Source organism: Homo sapiens, chromosome 10 (genome assembly GCF_000001405.40).
Source record: "Homo sapiens chromosome 10, GRCh38.p14 Primary Assembly".
NCBI classification, from domain to species: Eukaryota; Metazoa; Chordata; class Mammalia; order Primates; family Hominidae; genus Homo; species Homo sapiens.
The window spans coordinates 29,660,198-29,683,972 of NC_000010.11; the positions used below are offsets into that span (position 1 = coordinate 29,660,198).

At 44.2% G+C, this 23,775-nt stretch overlaps 1 protein-coding gene across 3 annotated transcripts in view, besides 1 other annotated feature; it reads right to left on the bottom strand.

Moving 5' to 3' along the window:
- SVIL (supervillin) overlaps positions 1 to 23,775 on the bottom strand; it is a 279,599-nt gene that overhangs the window by 202,860 nt on the left and 52,964 nt on the right. The window lies entirely within an intron of this gene.
- Positions 6,896 to 7,453: an enhancer, noted in NCBI's record as "OCT4-NANOG hESC enhancer chr10:29956022-29956579 (GRCh37/hg19 assembly coordinates)". NCBI's record gives its function as "activates a minimal SCP1, AML or CMV promoter by ChIP-STARR-seq in naive H9 embryonic stem cells {active_cell/tissue: H9 hESC(naive)}" and the evidence as "EXISTENCE:reporter gene assay evidence [ECO:0000049][PMID:30033119]".

Genomic DNA, 23,775 nt, shown 5'->3' on the forward strand with positions numbered 1-23,775 from the left:
ACCCAACAGGCTGAGGAAGAAAGATTGTTTGGGCCCAGGAGTTGCAGGTTACAGTGAGCTACGATTGTACCACTGCGCTCCAGCTCGGGCAACAAAGCAACACCTTGCTTGACTCAAAAAAAAAATTAAAAAGGCAGGGTGGGGTGGCTCATACCTATTGTTCCAGCACTTTAGGAGGCCAAAGTGAGAGGATCAATTGAGCCCAGGAATTTGAGACCAGCCTGGGCAACATAGCAAGACCCTGTGTTTACAAAAAATATAAAAAATTAGCCAGGCATGGTGTTGCACACCTCCCAGCTACTAGGGAGGCTGAGGTGGGAGGATCGCTTGAGCCTGGGAGGTGGAGGCTGCAGTGAGCCATGGTCTCACCACTGCACTCCAGCCTAGGCCACAGAGCAAAATTCTGGTGGGGGGAACGGGCCAAGAGAATCACAAGAAGCCAAGAAGAAAGGGCAGAATAGAAACATTCTCATCCCTCCCTCTTCTTAAAGAGAGTGCTAATCTCTGCCCAGACGCTCACGTCTTCCCCTGGCTCATTCCCCTCCTGACCTCTGGAGCATGGGCTCTCAAACTCATAGTGTGCACAGCAATCGCCTTGGGGCTCTACAACTGTGAGTCCAGATAGAAGAAAATCTGCAGTGAAATCATGAGCTCAGGGACAAAGAAGGAGTTTAAAAAGCCTGTGCCTGGGCCGGGTGTGGTGCCTCACGCCTGTAATCCCAGCACTCTGCGAGGCTGAGATGGGAGGATCATGAGGTCAAGAGATCAAGACCATCCTGGCCAACATGGTGAAACCCCGTCTCTACTAAAAATACAAAAATTAGCCAGGTGTGGTGGCACATGCCTGTAGTCCCAGCTATTCGGAAGGCTGAGGCAGGAGAATCGCTTGAACCAGGGAGTCGGAGGTTGCAGTGAGCCGAGATTGCGCCACTGCACTCTAGCTTGGCGACAGAGCAAGACACCGTCTCACAAGAAAAAAAAAAAAAAGCCTGTGCCTGAAACACTTGAGTCCTAGAAATCTGGTTTGCTTAAAGACAAAGGGAAAACCTCAGTCACTAGAGAGTAAAACTTCAGAATATATTGACAGGAAAACCCCACCATCAACCAGCTTTCATGCAGTCAGGATCATTTAGGAAAAATAAAAAAGCAAGAATACAAACAGGAAAAGGTCCAAATTTAGGGACAGGTTGAAGTTCGAGAAACGAGTCAAACCGGAATAAAAGCAGAAAAGAATTCCAGAGGAAAACAGGGCACCGGAGAAAGGAGAATGAGCATGATTAATGCAGCAGGAGGAGATGCTAGCTAAGCTGGAGCCAGACCAGGAGGGCTTGTCTCTTCTCTCCGGGGCTCTCTTGACCTTTCCAAGGCATTTCTTTCCGGACAAAACAAACTGTTACTGACTTTCACCAGGTTACCAACCCCCTGTGCAAAAACTCTGACTAGACTCTGGGACTAAATCTAGACCAATTGCATCTGGAAGAGAGATATGCCAGACAAAGGCATCCTTTTAGGTTAATGTTTCAAGCCTGTGCTTTGACAGATGGTGCCCATGGAGGTGCTCACAGTGAATGGATGTTTCTGGTGAGTTTTTATTTTCATTTTCCAAATTCTAGAACTGAAAATCAAATAAACTTTCTTTCTTTTTTTTTGAGATGGAGTCTCATTATGTTGCTCAGGCTGGTCTTAAACTCCTGGCTTAAAGTGATCCTTCCGTCTTTGGCCTCCCAAAGGGCTGAGGTTACAGGAGTGAGCCACCATGCCCGGCCCCAGTGAGTTTTATTCACATACTACCAAACTACTAGAGTAGCAAGTGCCTCTAGTTCTGGGGCATTGAGCAGCAACTTATCCCTCTTCACCAAGCAGCCAACAACCCCCACTGCAGACCTCAGGGATGATGCTGCCATGAGACCCAACTTTTATTCTGGCTTCTTTCTCCAACCTTTTTCCCTAGATGCCTTTAGCAAGGAAACCTGGTTCTTCCAGACATTTTCACAGAGCCTTAGGCACTTCCTCCCCGGTCTCATACAAATCTTTCAGGATTCAGCCTGGATGCCCCCAGTTTCCAGGAGAGCTTCTCTGACTGCCTTCATCCATCCTCAGAGACCTCCCTGTCTCCTGAATTCATGCCAAACACCTGATGCTGATTATAAATAACAATATGGCTAATTCTCAACCATCAAGGGTTGGATTAGCCACAGGAATAATAATACCAATAAGCATAATAATCATTATTGTTATTTGAACATTTGTAAAAAGTAAATAAATAAAATGCCAAATCAACAAGACCATCTCCCCATTAGAGAAGGTCCCCATTGATTGGAACTGCACAGTGACCTGCAGACATCACTGTGTCTGGAGTAGTTCCAGGCATCCATCACCCCTCAGATAGCTGCCTACCACATTAGTGCCCAAGGCTTGCCATTCTGACAGCAATAATTCCAGAAGCAAACACATGGATGGGAAAGCCACTAGTAAGTGACTGGACTGTCACATGTGTGAGGCAAGTTAGAAGCAATGAGCAACAATTAAAGTGGGAAGCTGGCATTAGAAGACAGGGCAGCAGGGATGTATGTGCGCGCGTACACACACACACACACACACACGGAACACTTGGACGAAGGACAAATAATAGGCCAGGTGCAGTGGCTCATGCCTGTAATCCCAGCACTCTGGGAGCCCAAGGCGGGAGGATCACTTGAGGCCAGAAGTTTGAGACCCACCTGGGCAGCAAAGCAAGACCCCATCTCTACAAAAAAGTAAAGAAAATTAACTGGGTGTGGTGGCATGCACCTGTAGCCCTAGCTACTTGGAAGGCTGAGGCTGGAGGATTGCTTGAGGCCAGGGATTTGAGGCTGCAGTGAGCTATGATCACACCACTGCACTCCAGCCTGGGCAACAGAATAAGACTCTGTCTCTTAAATAATAGTAATAATAAAAGAATAGACCATTTTAAGAGCACTAACCAATGGCCCATTTTATTTGTCAAGAAAACTATAGAAGACTTTGTGATCCTAGACTTGTAATATTTTTACACAGTAAGACAGTATCTATAGAATGGTGAATATTGTTCCAAATACTGGATTTTTCAGTAAGTAAACATCGGTAGTTTCCACTATGAAGAACATATTAGATTTGATGGTGACAACTTTTCTGTACTTTACCTCTCAATCAACAGATACTTATATTTCTTTTTTTTGTTTTTTTCTTTTGAGACACAGTCTCCCTCTGTTGCCCAGGCTGGAGTGCAGTGGCACAATCTCAGCTCACTGCAACCTCCGCCTCCCAGGTCCATGGAATTACAGGTGTGCACCACAATGCCCAGCTAATTTTTGTATTTTAGTAGAGACGGGGTTTCACCATGTTGGCCAGGCTGGTCTTGAACTCCTGACCTCAAGTGATCTGCCCTGCTTGGCCTCCCAAAGTGCTGGGATTACAGGCGTGAGCCACCATGCCCTGGTTGAGAGACGCCTATATTCCATATGGACTTTTCCCTCTAAAATCAGACTCATTTTTTATCAGCGGGACTCTTCTCCTGCACTGTATGTTTTCAGTGTTTCATGGGCATGAGCCCCATGCTCAACAAAGAGATGCGGAAAGACTGACAGGGAGGCAGTGGGCAGAGCAGCCGCTGGTTCTCCCGGTGAGTGCTGCTGGCAATCAGCACATCGGCAACTGCAAGAAGATGCTCACAGTCAAAATAGCAACTGACGCCAAGGGCACATCAAGGAGAGGGAGCTAAAATAAGAACCACAATCCTCCCTGGTGAGATCCAGAAACTCCACTACCCCTCTGTCCTTGGGGATATCTTCCTACGGGACACGTTCCCCATTTGATGGTCTTTATGCTGCCATTGGATGACCTTCCCGTGTATCCCATGACAGCACAGGTTCTTAAAAGGACACATCAGGTCCTCATACATTTTTTAGTACACTCCTGCAAAACCCTGGGAGATGTTCTGATTCAAGGATATGGTATTAACCAAAATCACAAGTGGAAAAATTGAGTTAATGGGCAGAATTCTCAACTTTAAGAATCTCTCATACACTTTTTCAAAATGTATATTCATAATTTTTTTTAAATGTATGTTTTTTTTGATGGCTCCTACCACTTGCTTAATAGCAAACACAAAATGAATAAATAAGTAGCAAACATTGAAGAAAAACTCAGGTTGGTGTGTGACAGATACATGCATGTGTGAATATGATGTAATATTGTCTATAGCAGGAGACCTCTGGCTGCCTGGATTCAAGCTCAGCGACCTCTCCCTGTCTCCTTAATTCATGCCAAATGCCTGATCTTGATTATAAATAACAATTACAGCTAATTAATTCTCAGCCATCCAGGGTTGGTTTAGCCACAGGAATAACAATAATAATAACTGTTGTTATTTGAACATTTGTAAAAAGTAAATAAATAAAATGTCAAATCAACAAAACCATCTACCCATTAGAGAAGAGTCAATTTTATATTTCGTAATTTTATATATATATATATACACACACACACACACATGCACACATACATATATGGATGCATACATTTGTATATATGATGATAAAGCATATAATGAGCTAAGTCGTAAAACAGAAAAACAGAATGCAACATTTCAACATTTCAGTGTGCCTCAAAGAACACCATGATTTCCTCCAACTGTCCTCAAACCTGAAGAAGTTTGCAAATCATACAATCATATAAGTGTATTTTTACAGAAAGGTCCAGGAGACACTATTCATGTAGGCACCTCAATAAAAAGAGAACTAAGAAAGAGGCAAGGGCTTATGCCTGTAATCCCAGCACTTTAGAAGGTTGAGGTGGGAGAATTGCTTGAGGCCAGGAGTTCAAGACCAGCTGGAGCAACATAGTGAGACCCTATGTATATCTCTACAAAATTTTTTTAAGTAAGCCTGTAGTGCCAGCTACTCAGGAGGCTGAGATGGGAGGATCACTTGAGCTCAGGAGTTCGAGGCTGCAGTGAGCTGTGATTGCCACCACTGCACTCCAGCCTGGGTGACAGAGCAAGATCTTGTCTCAAAAAAAAAAAAAAAAAAAAAAAAGGAGGCAAACGATGGTCTTCCCAGGAGCTTGCAGTAGAGTCAAAGCAATCGTGGTGTCTCAAGATATGTTGATCCCTCTCTGGACTCCTGAATCCCATACAGTTGCAATCCATGCAATTCAGCACCTGGCGAAGGCAAATATTTTCTGTTGCTCTCTACTGACTTCATAGGTGCACATTTTCATGAAAATAAATTATTATGCTAGGCCTTGCTCTTTTTTGTCTAGGTGGACAACTAATACCAGACTTAAAAACCTACTGCTGGCCAGGCACAGTGGCTCACGTCTGTAATCCCAGCACTTTGGGAGGCCGAGGCTGGTGGATCACGAGGTCAGGAGATCGAGACCATCCTGGCTAACAAAATGAAACCCCATCTCTACTAAAAATACAAAAATTAGCCAGGCATGGTGGCGGACGCCTGTAGTCCCAGCTACTCAGGAGGCTGAGGCAGGACAATGGTGTGAACCCAGGGGGCGGAGCTTGCAGTGAGCCAAGATTGCGCCACTGCACTCCAGCCTGGACAACAGAGTGAGACTCCATCTCAAAAACAAACAAACAAACAAACAAACAAACAAAAAACCCTACTGCTATGCAAACTATGTTTGGTAAGACAAACATACACTAAGGGCTCCAGTTCACTCTTCATACTCTCTGCCTATCAACCCCCATAACGGGGGAAAAAAGGGGATGGGTCCTGATTGATCCTGGATGACTTTCACCTCCTTTCTCAAGGTTTAAGTGATGCCTTCTGGATGCATGTTACCAAGGGATCCTCCCTCCTTAGCGTCTCAACAGTAGCTAGCCCTGTAGGCACATGCCATCATGCCTGGCTAATTTTTTTATTTTTTATAAAGACAGGGTTTCACTATGTGGCCCAGGCTGGTCTCAAACTCCTGGCCTCAAGTGATCCTCCTGCCTCAGCCTTTCAAAGTGCTAGGATTACAAGCGTGAGCCACCGTGTACCTGGCCTACTCCTAACCATTATGCTCTGATGTTCCACTCTTTAAAAAAATAATACAACAGCTTTGAGAGAGGTAAAAAGGTTTTCACAAGATTTCACGACATCCTAAGTAGTATCTCCAAGATAAATCTATATGCCTTTTAATAACCATAGAGATTTGCATCTGACTTCTCTGCCTGGGGCAAAAAGGATCTTTGTCACTGCAAAAGTCCCAACATAGTTTTATATCCCACACCTAAGGATACCTTTTTGCCTGGAAAGACGTGATAGGGATCTCTCCCTAGATCTTGGGATAGGAGTCCACTGCCTCGTACAGACGACCCGTGAGCCTGGTACACTTACGCCAAGGTCTCACTAAGGGTGGGTATTACCCTTGAGCTCAGTTTTACTTAGTTTACTACACCCAAGAGAAACAGATGTGCACTTAGCATCTCCTGAGTACAACACACTGTGTTATGTGCAGAGAAGGAAAAAAGAAACTCCGGCAATAGTGAAGCTAGAAGGACTTCTAAATAAAAGTAATTTAAAGTTCTAAGTAGAAGGGATTGGAACACAAAATTGAGGGGAAGAAAAGGGAAAGTCATATTCCGAGGTTTCTCTTCAAGGAGGAAAATCACACTGGGCATAATATGGTTTGGCTGTGTCTCCACCCAAACCTCATCTTGAATTGTAGCTCCCATAGAGTCCATTAAACTTCTTTCCTTTATAAATTACCCAGTTTTGGGTATGTCTTTATTAGCAGCATGAGAAAAGACTAATACAGGGTGTTAGTGCTTGAAGGCTCTGAAGGAGGTAGGAGCGCTCACATTTTGCTGGTTGGAATGCAAAAAAGTGGCACAGGTACTTTGGGAAACAGCCTAGCAGGTGTTTCTTCTTTTTTTCATCAAGTTAAACTTACCTTATGAACCAGCAACTCCACACCCTATGTATTTACTCAAGAAAAAGTGAAAACTTATGTTTCCATAAAAATCTGCTCATAAATGGAACTGGTGTTTTATTCATAATCACTAAAATATGGAAACAATCTCAAAGTCCTTTGGTGAGTGAATAAGCAAACTCTACAACAATACAATAGAACACAACTCAGCAACAAAAAGGAACTGCTATTGACACACAACAATGTGGATCAGCTTAAGAGAAGCCAGACTCAAAAGACATCCTGTGTGACTCCATTTGCATAACATTCTGGAAAAGGCAAAACTGTAGGGATAGAAAACAGCAGTCGTTGCCAGAATTTGGGGGCTGAGTGTGGGAACTGATGACACGGGGCAACAAGGAACTTTTTCAGGATGATGGATATTTACATCTTGATTATGTCGGTGGCTACACAATGGTATGGTCTTCTCAAAACACACCTGGGCCAGGTGTAGTGGCTCACACCTGTAATCTCAACACTTTGGGAGGTTGAGAGGGAAGGATCATTTGAGATCAGGAGTTCAAGACAAGCCTGGGAAACATAGCAAGACCATGTCTCTACAAAGAATAAAAATAAGCCAGGTGTGGTGGTGCAGTGTGCGCCTACTGTCCTAGCTACTCAGGAGGCTGAGGCAGGAGGACTGCTTGAGCCCAGGACTTTAAAGATGCAGGGAACCATGCCTGTGCCACTGTACTGTAGCTTGGGTGACACAGCAAGACCCTGTCTCTCAAAAAAAAAAAAAATAAGCTGTACACTAAAAAGAGGCAACGTTATTATATATGAGTTATATACCAATAAATCTGACTTTCTAAAAGCAGCTCAGAGAAATGATGCCAATAAAATTATCTCATGGAATAGGGCTATTGTCATCTTCTACAAGGTTCTACAAACCATGTGTCTAACTTCCTTTACTAACTCCCAGGTCCAATTTATTCTCACCCTATATTTACAGGACGACTATTAATAGCTTATTTTTAGAGAATAAAGCTCCCTTAGCCATATAAAATTTCTTAAAGCTACCTCTGAGTGTTTAGATAATAATGGGAACTCTCTTGTATTAAAAATAGAGGAGCACTGTACTGTAGCCTGGGCACCAGAGTGAGACCCTGTCTCAAAAAAAGAAAAAACAGAGGAATATGGGGCTTTTTCTCCTCATGCTAAGTATGCACCTGCTCATCACCAAGGAAAGAAGGCAGAAAGGATCCAGTAGCTGTCTGTCTACACAGATGAGGCCTACAAAACCACTAACTCACTGAAATACTCAGCTACTGCAATCCAAATGTTTAATTATGTTGAAAGTAAGCCAAGGTTACTGCTAAAATCTTCAGGCAAGAAGTAAAATCTAAGATAATTTTTTTTTCTTTGAGATGAAGTCTCACTCTGTTGCCCAGGCTGGAGTGCAATGGCGCCATCTCAGCTCACTGCAACCACTGTCTTCTGGGTTCAAGCAATTCTCCTGTCTCAGCCTCCCAAGTAGCTGGGACTACAGGCACGTGCTACCACACCCGGCTAATTTTTGTATTTTTAGTAGAGACGGAGTTTCACCATGTTGGCCAGGCTGGTCTTGAACTCCTGACCTCAGGTGATCCACCCACCTTGGCCTCCCTGAGGGTTGGGATTACAGGTGTGAGTCACTGCGCCCAGCCAAATCTAAGATAAATCTTGACCGTCAAATGGCAAACCTTTAGTGGAGCAGAAAGATTTTTTCAAATTACTGTACTATTGAAAAAACATAACTGCACTATGATTCAGCCTACACACCCAGACCAAAAACAATGTGAAGGATTCCAGTTTTTTTCTAGAGTCAATACTCCTGGTTGCCCATGTGTGCTGAGTACTGTTCTAGGCACTATAGGTACAATGATAAACCAATGTCCCTGTCTCTATGGAGCTCACATTCTTTTGGGAGTAACTGACAAATAAATAAATGAATGGACAAATACATGTATTGATCCCTAAGAGACTGAATGTCAGCTGATAAGAGCAGGGAAGGGGAAGTAGATTAAGAGGATGGGGGATTCTGTTTTAGATAAAGTGGTCTGTGTCTCTGAGGAGCTACCATTTGAGCAGAGCCCCAGAAGAATTGGGGAAGAAGGCTGGGGCACATCTGCAGGGAGAGTTTTGCTGGAGGAAAGAACAAGCATCAACTCCCATCTCTTGAGATGGGAGTATGACTGGTCTGTGCACGAAACTTGCAAAGTGGCCAGTTTGGCTGGCGTGCAGTGAGTGAAAGGAAGAGAGCCCGGATAACCAGCAGGAAGTGCTGTTCAGTGATGGCTGAGTGCTGGCCACACAGGCTCTGGGCCAGGACTTTGGAGTTTATTCTGAGAGTTTCTAGAAGCCCCAGTTGGATAAAAACAAGAGAGTGACATGATCTCAATTTAGTTTTAAAGACTCACTGTAGTTGCTCTGAGGAAAACAGACTTTGGGGAATGGGTAGACAGGGAGGTGGATGAGAAGAAGCATGGAGCTCTATAGGAGGCCCCCACAGCCATCCTGACAGAGATGATGGCCCTGGGCTGGGAGGTCACAGTGGAGGCACTGAGAAGTGGCCAGACTGGGCCGCTGAGTGAACGAAGGTGCCGTTGATGGAGATGGAGATCGAGATGTTGGGACGAAGCAGGTTAGCAGCCACCTGAATTGCTGGAAAATGTATTGATATTGCTGTCTGGGAGTTAGTGACATGATTTAAGATAAAGGAAAGTTGCCGGCTGTGGTGGCAACGCCTATAATCTCAGCAGTTTGGGAGGCTGAGATGAGAGGATCACTTTAGTCCAAGAGTTCAAGACCAGCCTAGGCAACTCAGGGAGACCTTATCTCTACAAAAAAATTTAAAAATTAGCTGGGCATGGTGGTGTGCACCTGTAGTCCCAGCCACCTGGGAGGCTGAGCAGGGAGGATCACTTGAGCCCAAAAGGTCAAGGTTGCAGTGAGCCATGATTGCACCACTGCACTCCAGCCTGGGAGACAGGGTGAGACTCCATCTCAAAAAAAAAAAAGATAAAGAAAAGGTTAATTTGACCCCAATAGTTTTAAACCTTAAGACTTTAAACATTTTAGAATGGAAATAGTTGACTCAGGACCAGTTTAGATATTAATTTAATCTTGTAATAGCATCTCCACCAACTAGGCCACTGACTATATACACCTAAGAAATGGATTTCTGTGAGAAGCGATATATTCCATTAGAGAACTTTCCAGGAAACAAAGATTTCCAGCAAAGCTAATAAAAGCTTCAAAGCTTTATAAAATAGATCAACAATGCTTTGAAGAGCCCCTTTATTTAACCCTTGCTAAAACAAAAGTATGTCAGCCAGGTTGCAGAGTGTGGGTATTTTCTGTCACATTTCTGTGATACAAAGGCTTAGTCTGATGGGAAAGAGAAGTCAAATTACAAGAATCTTTAATTGGTCTACATGTTAAAGTCTTTTGTGTAAACATCGTTTGTTTGACATAATCCATATCAAAGCATTTATCGGCTTTATAGATTATTTTCTTCAGCTGCTCTAAGATTTATAGGTTCAGGAAACTCTGAGTTTTTATGAAGCTGCATTTCATCTAGAAAGAGGCCAGAAACAACAAGAGAATGTAAAACGGTATGGAATTGATCCCTGCAAGTTAGAGTGAAGTGCAGTGGCAGGAAAGCCAGCAAGGCTCAGCCTCCATATTATAAGATTTTGTACATGTCCCAAAATCACATCTGTTTCAGCCAAGACAGGAATCGTGCCCAGGATTCAAAATGGAAGGGAAAGTTTAAATTGTTTTGATTGGAGTAACTGTGGCTGGCTAACATGTGCTTCTTCCAGGAGTCCAACAACTCCTCTATTTTCCATCTTTTCCTCCTCTTTCCTCCCATCCAACCCTAAGAGCAACAACAGAGTCTGATGAGGGACCAGATCAAAATCCTCCTTGGAACACCAGGCGCAGAGACCCCAGAGACTGCAGGCACCGACTTCACTTTTCATCTATTTCCTCTGTTGGAGAGAAAATGTTTCAATCCAGCTGGAACCGTCCAAACCTTGAACCCACCTTTAAAACTTCATCTGCTTTTCATTTTTGAGAAGTTTTACTCAAAAGAAATTAGCTCCCCAAAGTAACCTTACTTATCCACCCTTCCATTATCAGCCAAGAGAAAAATCTCCTCTTAGTCACGTAGCCCCGGGATAGATGCCTTCAACAGCTTCCCAATGTTTCCTTTCAATAACATTTTGGAAGTCCTTTATTGGTTTTCCCAGGTGTTTTCCCACCACACTACATCTCTTAGGATATGCTTTGGAAAGATCCGTTCTTAAAAGAAAATTCGCTGTGTTGCTCTAAAGTATTCCTTACTCGAATCTCTGAACTTAGTGACTTTTCCCACAGTATCAACTATTCAAGACAGATTTTTCTGGCTTATTGTTTTAAGATGTCAAGGATGCATTCTGCTTTTCCAAACTGAAGCTGGGACTTCCGATCACATATCCCCTTCCTTGCTACACTAACCAGCTGTTTCTGCGTCTTTCCAGAAGACAGCAGGATTGAGGCTGTATACTCTAGGCTTCTCCTAGGTCATCCATTCAGATATTTACCTTATTTCTTTCCAATGGCTCCAGACATATCATCTCTATTCCTATTTTTTTAAATCTCCAAGTTAAAATATACACATGGCCACACAATGTCAAATCCTCTGCCAACACTGAACTAGTGTGGTTTTCTCTTTGGACTCCTCTCTAATGACCTAAAGATGTATTATATCTGGATTCTCAGAGGTCTGTAAAATATTAATCCTTATGATGTAAAATGCTAGAAAATTGGGTCAGTCTGAATCTCTATTATTAATCCAGCCTGCTATCATTTCTCTGTGAGGTTCTATAATACATTCTGAAACTGTCACTGACCAGAAATCCCAGTAGTCGCTGACCCACTTAAGAAGCTAATGAAACCTATAGGCTCCCTCTCCAGAAATATCTCCAAACAAAATGGTACCTGTAATTGCTCTTCTAGACCAGGGGTCAGCAAACTGTAACCTGTGGGCCACATCACTGCCAATTTTTGCCAATAAAATTTTATTCGAACACAGCCATGCTTATTCATTTCTGTATTATCTATGGCTGTTTTCATGTTCCAGTGGCAATGTTGAATAATTAGAGCAAAGACTGTATGGTCCACAAAACCTGAAACATTTATAATATGGCCCTTTACAGAAAAGTCTGCCAGTCTCTCCTCTAGAGTGTTAAAACCAATGATTTCTAAGACAATAACCAGAAATGCCATCCTGGATCACCTAAGCATAGGAGGTTGAGGCTGCAGTGAGCCGTGATCACACCGCTGTGCTTCAGCCTGGGCGACAGAGCAAGATCCTGTCTCTAAAAAAAGAAAAAAGAAAAAAATAGAAATGCCACTCTGGGTGGCTTTGCAAAGTTACTTAACTAAATCCAATTTTCCTTAGGGTAAAAATTAAATAATAAAATTACGCACATAAGTGCCCAGCATGGTGCCTGGTATTCAGTAGGCAATTAATAATGTTTATTTCTTTCATTTGCTATGCTCCTCCTTGTGCTTCAGTACTAGGTTCAAATATCTCCTCCTCTCTGCTGCACTCTTCCTGCAGAGTGGGAAGTTCCTTCCTCTTGGCACCCTAAATTATTTTAGCACTGCTATTCCATGTTCTCTTGAGCTACTCACTTATCTTTCTTTGCATCTAGAATGTGGCTTCCTCTGGAAAAAATTCCATATCTTGTTTATTTATCTTTGTTTCTCCAGTGCCTGGCACACAGCAGGATCTTAGCAAAGTTTTTGTTTTGTTTTGTTGTTGTTGTTGTTTTGAGACAGAGTCTCACTCTGTTGCCCAGGCTGGAGTGCAGTGGTGTGATATTGGCTCATTGCAACTGCAGCCTCCCAGGTTAAAGCAATTCTCCTGCCTCAGCCTCCCGAGTAGCTGGGATTACAGGCACCCACCGCCACACCCAGCTAATTTTTGTATTTTCAGTAGAGATGGGGTTTCACCATGTTGGCCAGGCTTGTCTTGAATTCCTGACCTCAGGTGATTCACCCACCTTGGCCTCTCAAAGTGCGGGGATTACAGGCGTGAGCTACTGTGACCTGCCTTAGCAAAGATTTCTTTAGAGAATGAGTAAAGAAATAAATCTACACTAGAAATATTCTTATTCTAAAAGATGCCATGCAATGATTATTAATTATATGTTAGTAAATAATATCAGATATTCCAAGCTGAGTTTCACAAATAATGAATACTTTTTTTTTTTAATCACTGACTTAAGGTCCTAACTTGCTATGTATTTGTATTAGTCCATTTTTACATTGCTATAAAGAACTACCTGAGACTGAGTAATTTATACAGAAAAGAGGGTTAATTGACTCACAGTTCTGCATAGTGTGGGAGGCCCCAGGAAACTTAAAATCATGGCGGAAGGCAAAGGGGAAGCAAGGCACGTCTTACATGGCATTAGGGGGGAGAGAGAGAGAGAGAGAGAGAGAGCTAGGGGGGAACTGCCAAACACTTTTAAACCATCAGATCTTGCGAGAACTCACTATCGCGAGAACTCACTATCACGAGAACAGCATGGGGGAAACCGCCTCCATGATCCAATCATCTCCCATCAGGTCCCTCCCTCGATGTGTGGGGATTACAATTTCGAGATGAGATTTGGGTGGGGGCACAGAGCCAAACCATATCAGCATTACAGCAGTCTTGCTAAGCAGCAAAGTACAGGGTTAACATTTCAACCATGTGTAGGTACCAAGAAGTTCTTAGACCCCAAGGAAGTTAAGAATGGCTCTTGTTAAAACCCAACTGTAGAAAATTCTCTAATTAAGCCTCTCATCTTTGAATGATAATGCGAAGTATGATATGCCTTGTCTATAACAAGAGCCTCAATTTAACATTTACAATTTAGCATAAATTTTTTTTTGAAAAGGTGGGGCCAAGCACAGTGGATCACACCTGTAATGAGAGCATTTTGGAAGGCCAAGGCGGGAGGTTCACTTGAGCCCAGGAGTTTGAGACCAGTCTAGGCAACATAGCAAGACCTGATTTCTACAAAAAAAAAATTAAAAAATTAGCCAGACGTGGTGGTGTGCACCTGTGGTCCCAGCTACTTGGGAAGCCAAGTGGGGAGGATCACTTGAACTTGGGAGGTTGAGGCTGCAGTGAGCTGTGATCCACTGCACTCCAGCCTGGGTGACAAAATGAGATTCTGTCTCAAAAAAAGTGGGGGGTGTTTCTTAGGGTTTTTCATGAGTTTGGTTAGAAAAGATTCATTCATTCAAAAAGGAATGAATTAGGCACTGATCGAGGCAGTGAGGAGACAACAGCAAAGCAATAAAGTTCCTGGCCTTACTGTAGTAAAATAAATTAGCTTAGAAAAATCTCAGAATTAATGTTGACAAGAATCTTCTTGGAGTTACTTATATTCCATAAATTTTCCATTATATTATATTCCACAAATAAATAAGAATGTCTCGCATTTCCAAACCAGAGACAGGTCTCCATTTGGATTGTTTGCTATAGCTTGCTGTAACAAATGACTATGTACGTGGTGACTTAAAACAACACAAATTCTTATTTATAGTTTTAGATGTTAGATGTTTGGGTCTCACTGGGCTACAAGTCAAGGTGTTGGCAGGGCCTCATTTCTGCTGGAGGCTCTCAAGGAGAATCCATTTTCTTGCCTTTTCCAGCTTCTAGAGGCCACCTGCATTCCTTGGCTCACGGCCCCTTCCTGCATCTTCAAGGCAGCAACAGCCCTGAAGACTGTGTCCCACGGCATCACTCTGACACTGACTCTCCTGACTTCCTTCTTCACTTCCGAGGACCTTTGCGATTACAAAAGTCCCACCTGGATAGTCCAGGATAATCTCCCCATCTCAAGGACAGCTGACTCGCAACCTTAATTCCCAACTGCCATATAACTGAACATATTCACAGCTTCCAGGGATTGGGATGTGGACATTTTTCGAAGAGGAGGAGAGAGGGGGCATGATTCTTCCTACCCCACATATTGCTAGAGCAATCAGGCCAATGAGCCCAGTCCACATGCATGACCCCAGTATGAAGCCTGGCATACCACCATTTCTAGAAACCAGCCCTCAGCTGGGCACAATGGCTCATGTTTGTAATCCCAGAATTTTGCAGGGCCAAGGTGGGAGGATCACTTGAGGTTAGGAGTTTGAGATCAGCTTAGGCAACACAGTAAGACCCCATTTCTGCAAAGAAAAAGTTAACCAATTAGCTGGACATGGTGGTGCATGCCTGTGGTCCTAGCTTCTCAGGAGACTGAGGCTGGAGGATCATTTGAGCCCAGGAATTAAAGGTTACAGTGAGCTACAATTGTGCCACTGCACTGCAATTGTCTCTAAAACAAAACAAAACAAAAAGAACAAGAAGAAACCAGCCCTCTCCAGGCTAGGATGTTACTCCCACCCACACAGACCCCCAGAACCTCACAAAGCACACCTCTGCTCTTCCACCAGTCCCACTGTAGCAAGTTTCCATTTCCTGTCCATCAAACCGTGTTACATCTTCACCCTCATCTGTTCTAAGAATAAAACTAATGATTTTTTCCCCCTTATCCACCCTCCCAATAGAAAAACCATACCGTTTCCTCCAGTCTTCGCCCAAGTGTTACACAAAGACTTGTTCATGATAGTAAAGATGTATTCATGGGTATCTTATTGCTACATGACTGATCAGTCCAATTGCCCATAGAACTGATGTTTATGGTTTCTTTTGAATAAACATAGAAATTGACCCTTCCCAGTCTTGAAACATAAGAAAGTTACATTTGTCTTATCTGAGCTCCTTTCTCAGGAAACCAACCATCAGTCCTCTGAGATAGTATCACAGAGCTGAAACTTACCAGATTACTGCATCTGGGCAATAAAACACCAGACCCCTCACCCATCATGATAACTACTGACCCCCTGCTTCCTGTTGACCAATTCCTCATCCTTACCTCTCTCTAATTCCTGTTTCCCATGCATGGTTACATTTCTTCCCTGCTATATAAACCCCTAATTTTAGTCAGTCAGAGAGATGGATTTGAGACTGATCTCCCATCTCCTCACCTGCAGCACCTGAATAAAGCCTTCTTCCCTGGCAGTACTGATTATCTCAGTGATTGGCTTTCTGTGTGGTGAACAGCAGCAGGATCAAGACCGAACCACTGGTGTTTTGGTAACATTACCTCTCAGTGTCACCTAAACACATACACACTCATTCATTCTTCTGTTTTTAAGTGGAAAAAAAAGAGTGTGTGTGTGTGTGTGCGCACACGCACAATATAAACTCTTTGAGAGCAAAGACTAACTTAATAAACACAAATACTAGGTAAATGCTAACCAGCTTACCCCCAATGCAGAGAGCTTACAAAGCAGTCTTTGAGCATGATGATAAAGTAAAACATGTTTCTGGAACTGCACACAGAGGTTTGCAGAGATTTCCTCTTGTCAAAGGTAAGTACAAAAAAATCCACAAGGGTTTGGCTGGCTCCAATGGAGCAAGAGAGGTCACTCTGGGCCCTGAGTTATCACCTTAAGGGGCCGGAGCAGCTGGCAGTTGGAACACTGAGCTGGACATTGGTTTGGAGAAATTAGAGCTAGCTTTTTCTGCTTTTGACAACAGCCTTGACCACACAAAGGGCTACATTTAGGTTGGCATTTGCCTAGGATGTAACGCCCATTTGGCCGTTTGGAGTCGATTTTCCACCCCTCTTTTCCTACTGGCACACAGCTGTGACCCTTGGGTCTTGGAAACACCTGTGGAGATTTAGCCTTGGTAACAACAGAGTTCTTCCCAGGTCATCAGAACCCATCTGCCTCCTAGACTAGAGATCACTTACTTACGGACATTTCTAAATAAAGGATGACAAAGTAACTGGATCAACTACATGTTTAATCATTGCTATTTAAATGTGATCATTTCTCAATTTCAAATTTAAAAAGTGTAAACTTAAGGAAAGAGAAATAATGCCAGGGACTAAATAGTATTAAATCTCCCTCCATGTGAGTGCCCCAGATGTCCTATTCTATAAAATTCTCCCCCTTCCCTTTTTGCCTTCAGCTCAGCAGACACCCTTTGCTGGGAACTCAGATGCCACAAAGATGCATTCACTTTCCACCCCCAAGTAGTGTTTCCAAGCATGCAATGTGAACGATGCTGGAAGGCTTCCATTCCTCCTGCCCCTTTGTCTTGTCATGTACAGGCGATATCCCCAAACCAAAGAAAAAATTCTGCCAAGAGAACCAAGCATGACCTAGCCCTGAATGCTGTCAGTGCTGCTCGGAATAACACCTGGGTCAGAATGACAGGGTCTCACTCTTGCCCAGGCTGGAGTGCAGTGGCACAATCATAGCTCTCTGCAGCTTCAAACTCCTGGACTCCATGCAATGGAGCCCACGTAATCCTCCTGCCTCAGCCTCCTAAGTAGCTGGGACTATAGCTGTGCAGCACTATGCTCAGCTAATTTTTATTTTTTTATAGAAACAGGTCTCACTATATTGCCTAGGCTTCTCTCAACCCCTGGGTTCAAGCGATCCTCCATCCTCAGCCTCCCAAAGTGCTAGGATTACAGGCACGAGCCACTGTGACCAGCGAGGATACATTTTCATTGGCCACTTACTGTCGGATTCCCAATTCCATAAGGAAAGAGGGAAAGGGATGGCCCTTTCCACCCAAGTGCTGTGTAAACTACATCAGGAGCTCATTTGTGCTTGATGCTCCTCCTTCAGTGATCACATCTTAATGTTCTACCTTCAACTCAAAGAAACTACAATGTTCAAGCAGGAAGCCACCCCAGCAATGATCCTGCCTACCTGCCCTCAGTCTAAGGTGCAGAAACATTTGTCTAAAATGGGCAAATATCACTAGAAAGTCATTTATCTTCCTTTTAGAAGTGAAGCCAGGGTCTACCTTATCTGAAAGACAAAGGCTCTAGAACAGCAATCCCCAGCCTTTTTGGCACTGGGGACCAGTTTTGTGGAAGACAATTTTTCCATGAACCAGGGGTTGAGGGGGATGGTTTCAGGATGATTCAAGTGCATTACATTTATTGTGCAATTTATTATTATTACATTGTAATATATAAGAAATAATTATACAACTCACCATAATGTAGAATCAGTGGAAGCCCTGAGCTTGTTTTCCTGCAACTAGATAGTCCCATCTAAGGGTGATGAGAGATAGTGACAGATCATCAGGCATTAGATTCTCATAAGGAGCATGCAACCTAGCTCCCTCAAATGCGCAGTTCACAATAGGGTTCATGCTCCTATGGAATCTAATGCTACTGCTGATCCGACAGGAGGCGGAACTCAGGGGGAAATGCAAGCAATGGGGAGCAACTGCAAATACAGATGAAGTTTCACTCGTTCACCTGCCGCTCACCTCCTGCTGTGCAGGTTCCAAACAGGCCACAAACCAGTACTGATCCATGGCCCAGGGGTTGGGGACCCTGCTCTAGAATCTTGCTAGAAACCCTGCATCTGTGAATGGCAGGTGTATGTTGATTTAGCCAAGAGGCTGTTCCCTGGAGGAATTCTGTTCAGTATAATGCAGGTAACTAGCCTGAGTAAGAAGAATCAACAAGCTTTTGTCCAAAATGAAATTAGTGAGCAGAGTAGAAGCTGGAAGATGTGTGGGGGATATTAAAACCCCTGCTCCCTTCTCGTCCATTGCTTCTGCAGCTCTCCTCTCACATTTTAGGTTGAGGGTACCCTGAGTTGACCTGAGCTGCATGACCATCTCCCAGCATTGGTTTGCTTGTAGCAGCCTGTGTATAAAATTAAAAACACCTGGGTGGCCAGGCACAGTGGCTCATGCCTGTAATCCCAGTACTTTGGGAAGCTGAGGTAGGTGGATCAACAGAGGTCAGGAGTTCGAGACCAGCCTGGCCAATATGGTGAAACCCCATCTCTACTAAAAATGCAAAATTAGCCTGGCATGGTGGCGCACGCCTGTAATCCCAGCTACTTGGGTGGCTGAGGCAGGAGAATCACTTGAACCTGAAAGGCAGAGGCTGCAGTGAGCAGAGATTGTGCCACTGCAATCCAGCCTGGGCAACAGAGAGAGACTCCGTCACAAACAAACAAACAAACAAAACAAAAAAACACCTGGGTTTAGAGCTGCTTGTAGGCAACTAAGGGGACTAACTTGCTCCACTAACTTTTACTAAATTCTCAAATGTCATGGTAAATAAAAATGACATATATTTGTGAGAAGAGAAGGTGCAGGTAATGAAGCCAGTGAAGCCACAATTTAAGAAATAGTGACAACTCCTTTCCACATGCAAGTCTCCTCTGCATCAGATGGGACTTCTTCATCAAATATGTTATTAGAAAAACAAAAACCTAAAACCAAAAGCATTGAGTACAGATTGGAAAGTCTGAAGATGAATGATTAGAAAGCCAGCCACTTTTTTTTCTTTTTTCTTTTCCTTTTTTTTTTTTGAGATGGGGGTCCCACTCTGTTGCCCTGGCTGGAGTGCAGTGGCGCTGATCACGGCTCACTGCAGCCTCGTCTGCCCAAGCTCTAGAGATTCTCCTACCTCAGCCTCCTGAGCAGCTGGGACCGCAGGCACACACCACCATGCCCCGCCAAGCCAGCCACTTTCTAAATACCTTTCTGTTGGGTGGCACTGCTAGAGGTCAGGGATCCAGTTCCACCTTTACAGAAGTTCGTTTACAGAAGCCCGAGCTACACCATTGCACAGAATATCCATGTCACAAACCTGTACATGTACCCCCTGAATCTAAAATTAGAAAAAAAAAAAAGTCCAGGTCAGGCTCAGTGGCTCACACCTGTAATCCCAGCACTTTGGGAGGCTGAGGCAGGAGGATTGCTTGAGCCCAGGAGTTCGAGACCCTCGGCAATATAGCGAGATCCTATCTCTCCTAAAAATAAAAAATTAAAAATTACCCGGCATAGTTGCATGTGCCTGTCATCCCAGCCACTTGGGGGGCTTAGGTGGGAGGATCTCTTAAGTCCAAGGGGTTGAGGCTGCAGTGAGCCGTGACTGTGCTACTGCATTCCAGCCTGGGTGACAGAATAAGATCCTATCTCAGTAATAATAAAAGTCTGTTTAGTCAAGGAGATCAGCACCAGAAACATACAGACTGGCACATGTTCTCATAGGCGTTCTGTCCACTCTCCCCGTCCCACCAGTGGAGGTGCATATGACCCAGCTAGCTTCTTGGAGGAGGCACCTGAATGGCATCTTTAGTGATCAGTCAGATGCAGCCAGTTGAGAAGGAAGAGGGAAGGTGTTCCAGGTAGTATGCAACACGAGGCCTGGAGCCTGCTATTTTCAGAAAGTTGATAGGAATTACACATGCTACAGCATGGCGCATGGGCAGGGGGCCGTGGGATGGGAGCCTGCACCAAATGGGCCCCGATGCGTGCTGTGATCTTGCACTTTAGCCTCAGGGCTATCACCAAATATTTATGCTGTAAAAAGTGTACCATGCATTTAAGAAGGGTGATGGAGTTTAGGGCAAATCAAAAATAGCAAGAGAGGCTGGGCACAGTGGCTCACGCCTGTAATCCCAGCACTTTGGGAGGCCGAGGCGGGTGGATCACTTGAGGTCAGGAGTTCAAGATCAGCCTGGCCAACATAGTAAAACCCTGTCTCTACTAAAAATACAAAAATTAGCTGGGCGTAGTGGTGTGTGCCTATAATCCCAGCTACTCAGGAGGCTGAGGCAGGAGAATATCTTGAACCCAGGAAGCAGAGACTGCAGTGAGCTGAGATCATACCACTGCACTCCAGCCTGGGCGACAGAGTGAGACTCCATCTCAAAAAAAAAAATAGCAAAGAAAGTGGGAGGGAAGGAGAAGGCAACCAGCAGGCATGGACACTACCTGCTGGGCTTGCCTCACAAACAACTGGCTCAGGGGCAGGAGACGGAAAGTCCATGGGAGAAGCTCAGAGCACTGCAGGGCGGAAGAGAGGTGAGTTCCCTGTGGAGGTGGGGCAGGAAGCTGTCATAAAGGGGTTGCATTTGTAATTGGCATGGTAGGGAATGGGGCTGTGACTGGTACAACTGGGAAGGAGGATGGCACTGGGAGAAGGGAATTGTGTGGGAAGAGAAGAGGATGAGCCAAAGAGGATGGGCAGAAAAGTGAGATTTAGGGCACGTGCAGGCAAGGAAGGATGAGAAGTCAGCAGAAAGGATTTTACACAGAATGACAGCCCAGGGAATAGCTGGTGATGGAAAGAGAGTCTCCAGCCACCACAGCACAAAGCATGACATGCAAAGGCATGATGACCTCTAAAGATGGAATGGTGTGTGTGTGTGTGTGTGTGTGTGTGTGTGTGTGTACGTGTGTTGAGAGAGAGAGAAGAATGAGGAGGAGGAGGAGGAGATAAGAAGCATAAGTTCATGATTTCATTAAATTAACATCCTCTTGACTGTCTCAAAAGTATCAGCTCACAAGAAGGAAATTTTAAGTCCTTGCAACTAAAATTTCCTTTCCAGACAAAGAAGCTTAGCATAGAAGTTGTGCAAAAGTGTGCCTATCTCTTTCCTAATGATCACGTCAGAAAAGCAGCCAAAAAGTAAAACATTCCCTCTGGGCACCAGTTACTCAAAGATGGTTTCAGATCATCAGAGCTGGGCTGGATGCTCCCACCAGCAGGACTTCCTCCTTGCTACAAACCACACTAGGCACATTGCAATAAGGCTTGCTGCTTCTGCGCTTCCTTGTCGCATTTGTTTATTTCAACAGATGCAGGGCTTCTTACACAGGCTAGGAAGGGAGACCAAAGGGGCACCTTAACCCTGATCAGGAACAGACCTTCTGCCTCCATGTGACTTACCACACACTTCCGCTCAGACCTGTCTTGAAGGGAAGGCTCTGTTGTGACACCCAGCACACGCCCTTCCTGTCCCCACTCCCTCAGCCCATCAGAGAGTTTCCTGGGAGGGGCTGGTGATCCTAGCTAGTAAAAGGTCCTAGCATGGACACCCATGCTGGCTCTGGGCTTTGCATCTCTTCCAAATCTCATTTGTATGCATCTTGGAAAGAATCTTCTACGCCTTAAGCAGCAGGTTGGCAGATCTTAACCTCTAGTCACCAACACAGCTCCAATACCACGCCCCCTCCTCAGCCCTTTTGAGAGAGTAGCCCACGTGTAGGTATCTCAGCCCACAGTCCCATAGCCAGAGGAGAAGGCAGCTGCTGCGTCAGCCCAATGATGAAGTCACAGACGAAGAGACTCTTCTTGTCCCCAAGAAGCTTTCAGTTTAGCCAGAGAGACACATTTGTTATCTCATTAAGTAAATGTTTATGAAGCACCTACTAAGTTCCAGACACTGCTCTAGGTTCCTGGCATAAAGTAGCAACCAAAACAGAAAGAAATCCTTTTCCTCCTGGAGCTTATCGTCTAGTGATCAGTGAGGAGATACCCTTTACACACAATTAATAAAAGGAACCAAACCATAATTATTACATAATTAATAAAAGGAACCAAACCAATGAAACATGCAAAGGACAAAATGATGTTGCATTTAGAAGGAAGAAGGAGAAACATTTCTGCCTGGAATTAGACAGGCTTGGTGAAGAAAGAGGAGTATACAAATTCTGTTACAATTCAGATATGCTTTTCTAGGTTCAAGTGTATGTTAGCTACAGGAATGGTCACAGGACATTCAGATGTTCTCAAAAAACACTGTGCTTCACCTCATGTTTAATGACTATTCACCTGTCCTCATAGAATGGTTAATGGGGAGAGTTGGCCAAGGGAGGCAGAAACTAAGGGCTCAAAGGTAGCAGAGCAGGTGGGTCCAAAGATGGTGCTGAGATTCTAAGTCAGGTGTTGATAAAAAGAGTCAGACTCTGTAACATTTGAAGAGATTTATTCTGAGCCAAATATGAGTGGCCAAGGGCCCATGACAAAGGCTCAGGGGATCCTGAGAACATGTGCTTAAGGTGACTGGGCTACAACTTGGCTTTATAGATTTGAGAAAGACATAAGACTTCAATCAGTACTTGTAAGATGTACAATGGTTTGGTCCAGAAAAGTGGGACAACTGGAAGCTGGGAGTGGGGGTGAGGGCTTCCAGGTCATAGATGGAGTCAAAGATTTTCTTATTGGAAATTGGCTGAAAGAGTTAAATTACTGTCTGAAGACTTAGAATCAATAAGAAGGGATGTCTGGTTAAGATAAGGGATTGTGGAGACCAGGGTGTTAGTATGCAAATGAAGCCTCCAGGTAGCAGGCTTCAGGCTTCAGAAAACTGATTGTAAAGGTTTCTTATTAGACTTAAAGAGTCTGTTCTATCAGTCTTAAGGTCTGTGTTCATCTTAATGCTGGTCAGCTGGGTCTGAATTCCAAAAGGGAGGAGGGTATCATGAGGCATGTCTGATTCGCCCTTCCCATCAGGGCCTGAACTAGTTATTCAGGTTAATTTTGGAATGGCCTTGGCCAAGAGGAGGGGTTCATTCAGATGGCTGAGGGGCTTAGAATTTTATTTTTGGTTTACACAGGCTTATTATAATCAACTTACAGCAATCTTCTCCCTCCCAACCTAGCAAAACACACACACTTGCTTTGCACATACTTTGATCACATCTTCTCCCTCGGGCAGATTTTCATTGTCATTTACCCTGATTCACCTGCACTAAGAGGTTCCTTAGGATCCAAACACAGCCTGTGCCAGGCCCTCACTCTCCATGCACTCTGGGCTCCCCCAACTTGCCCCAGAGAACCCCTCTGTGCTGCACTTCACCATGGAAGCACAAAATCATCCTCACTCTGAATAGCCTCTCTAACCTCATGGCACACTGGTCAGGAAATATGCTTGAGAATAAGCATTTCATGAAAGTCACCCCAAATCATGACAGAAGCA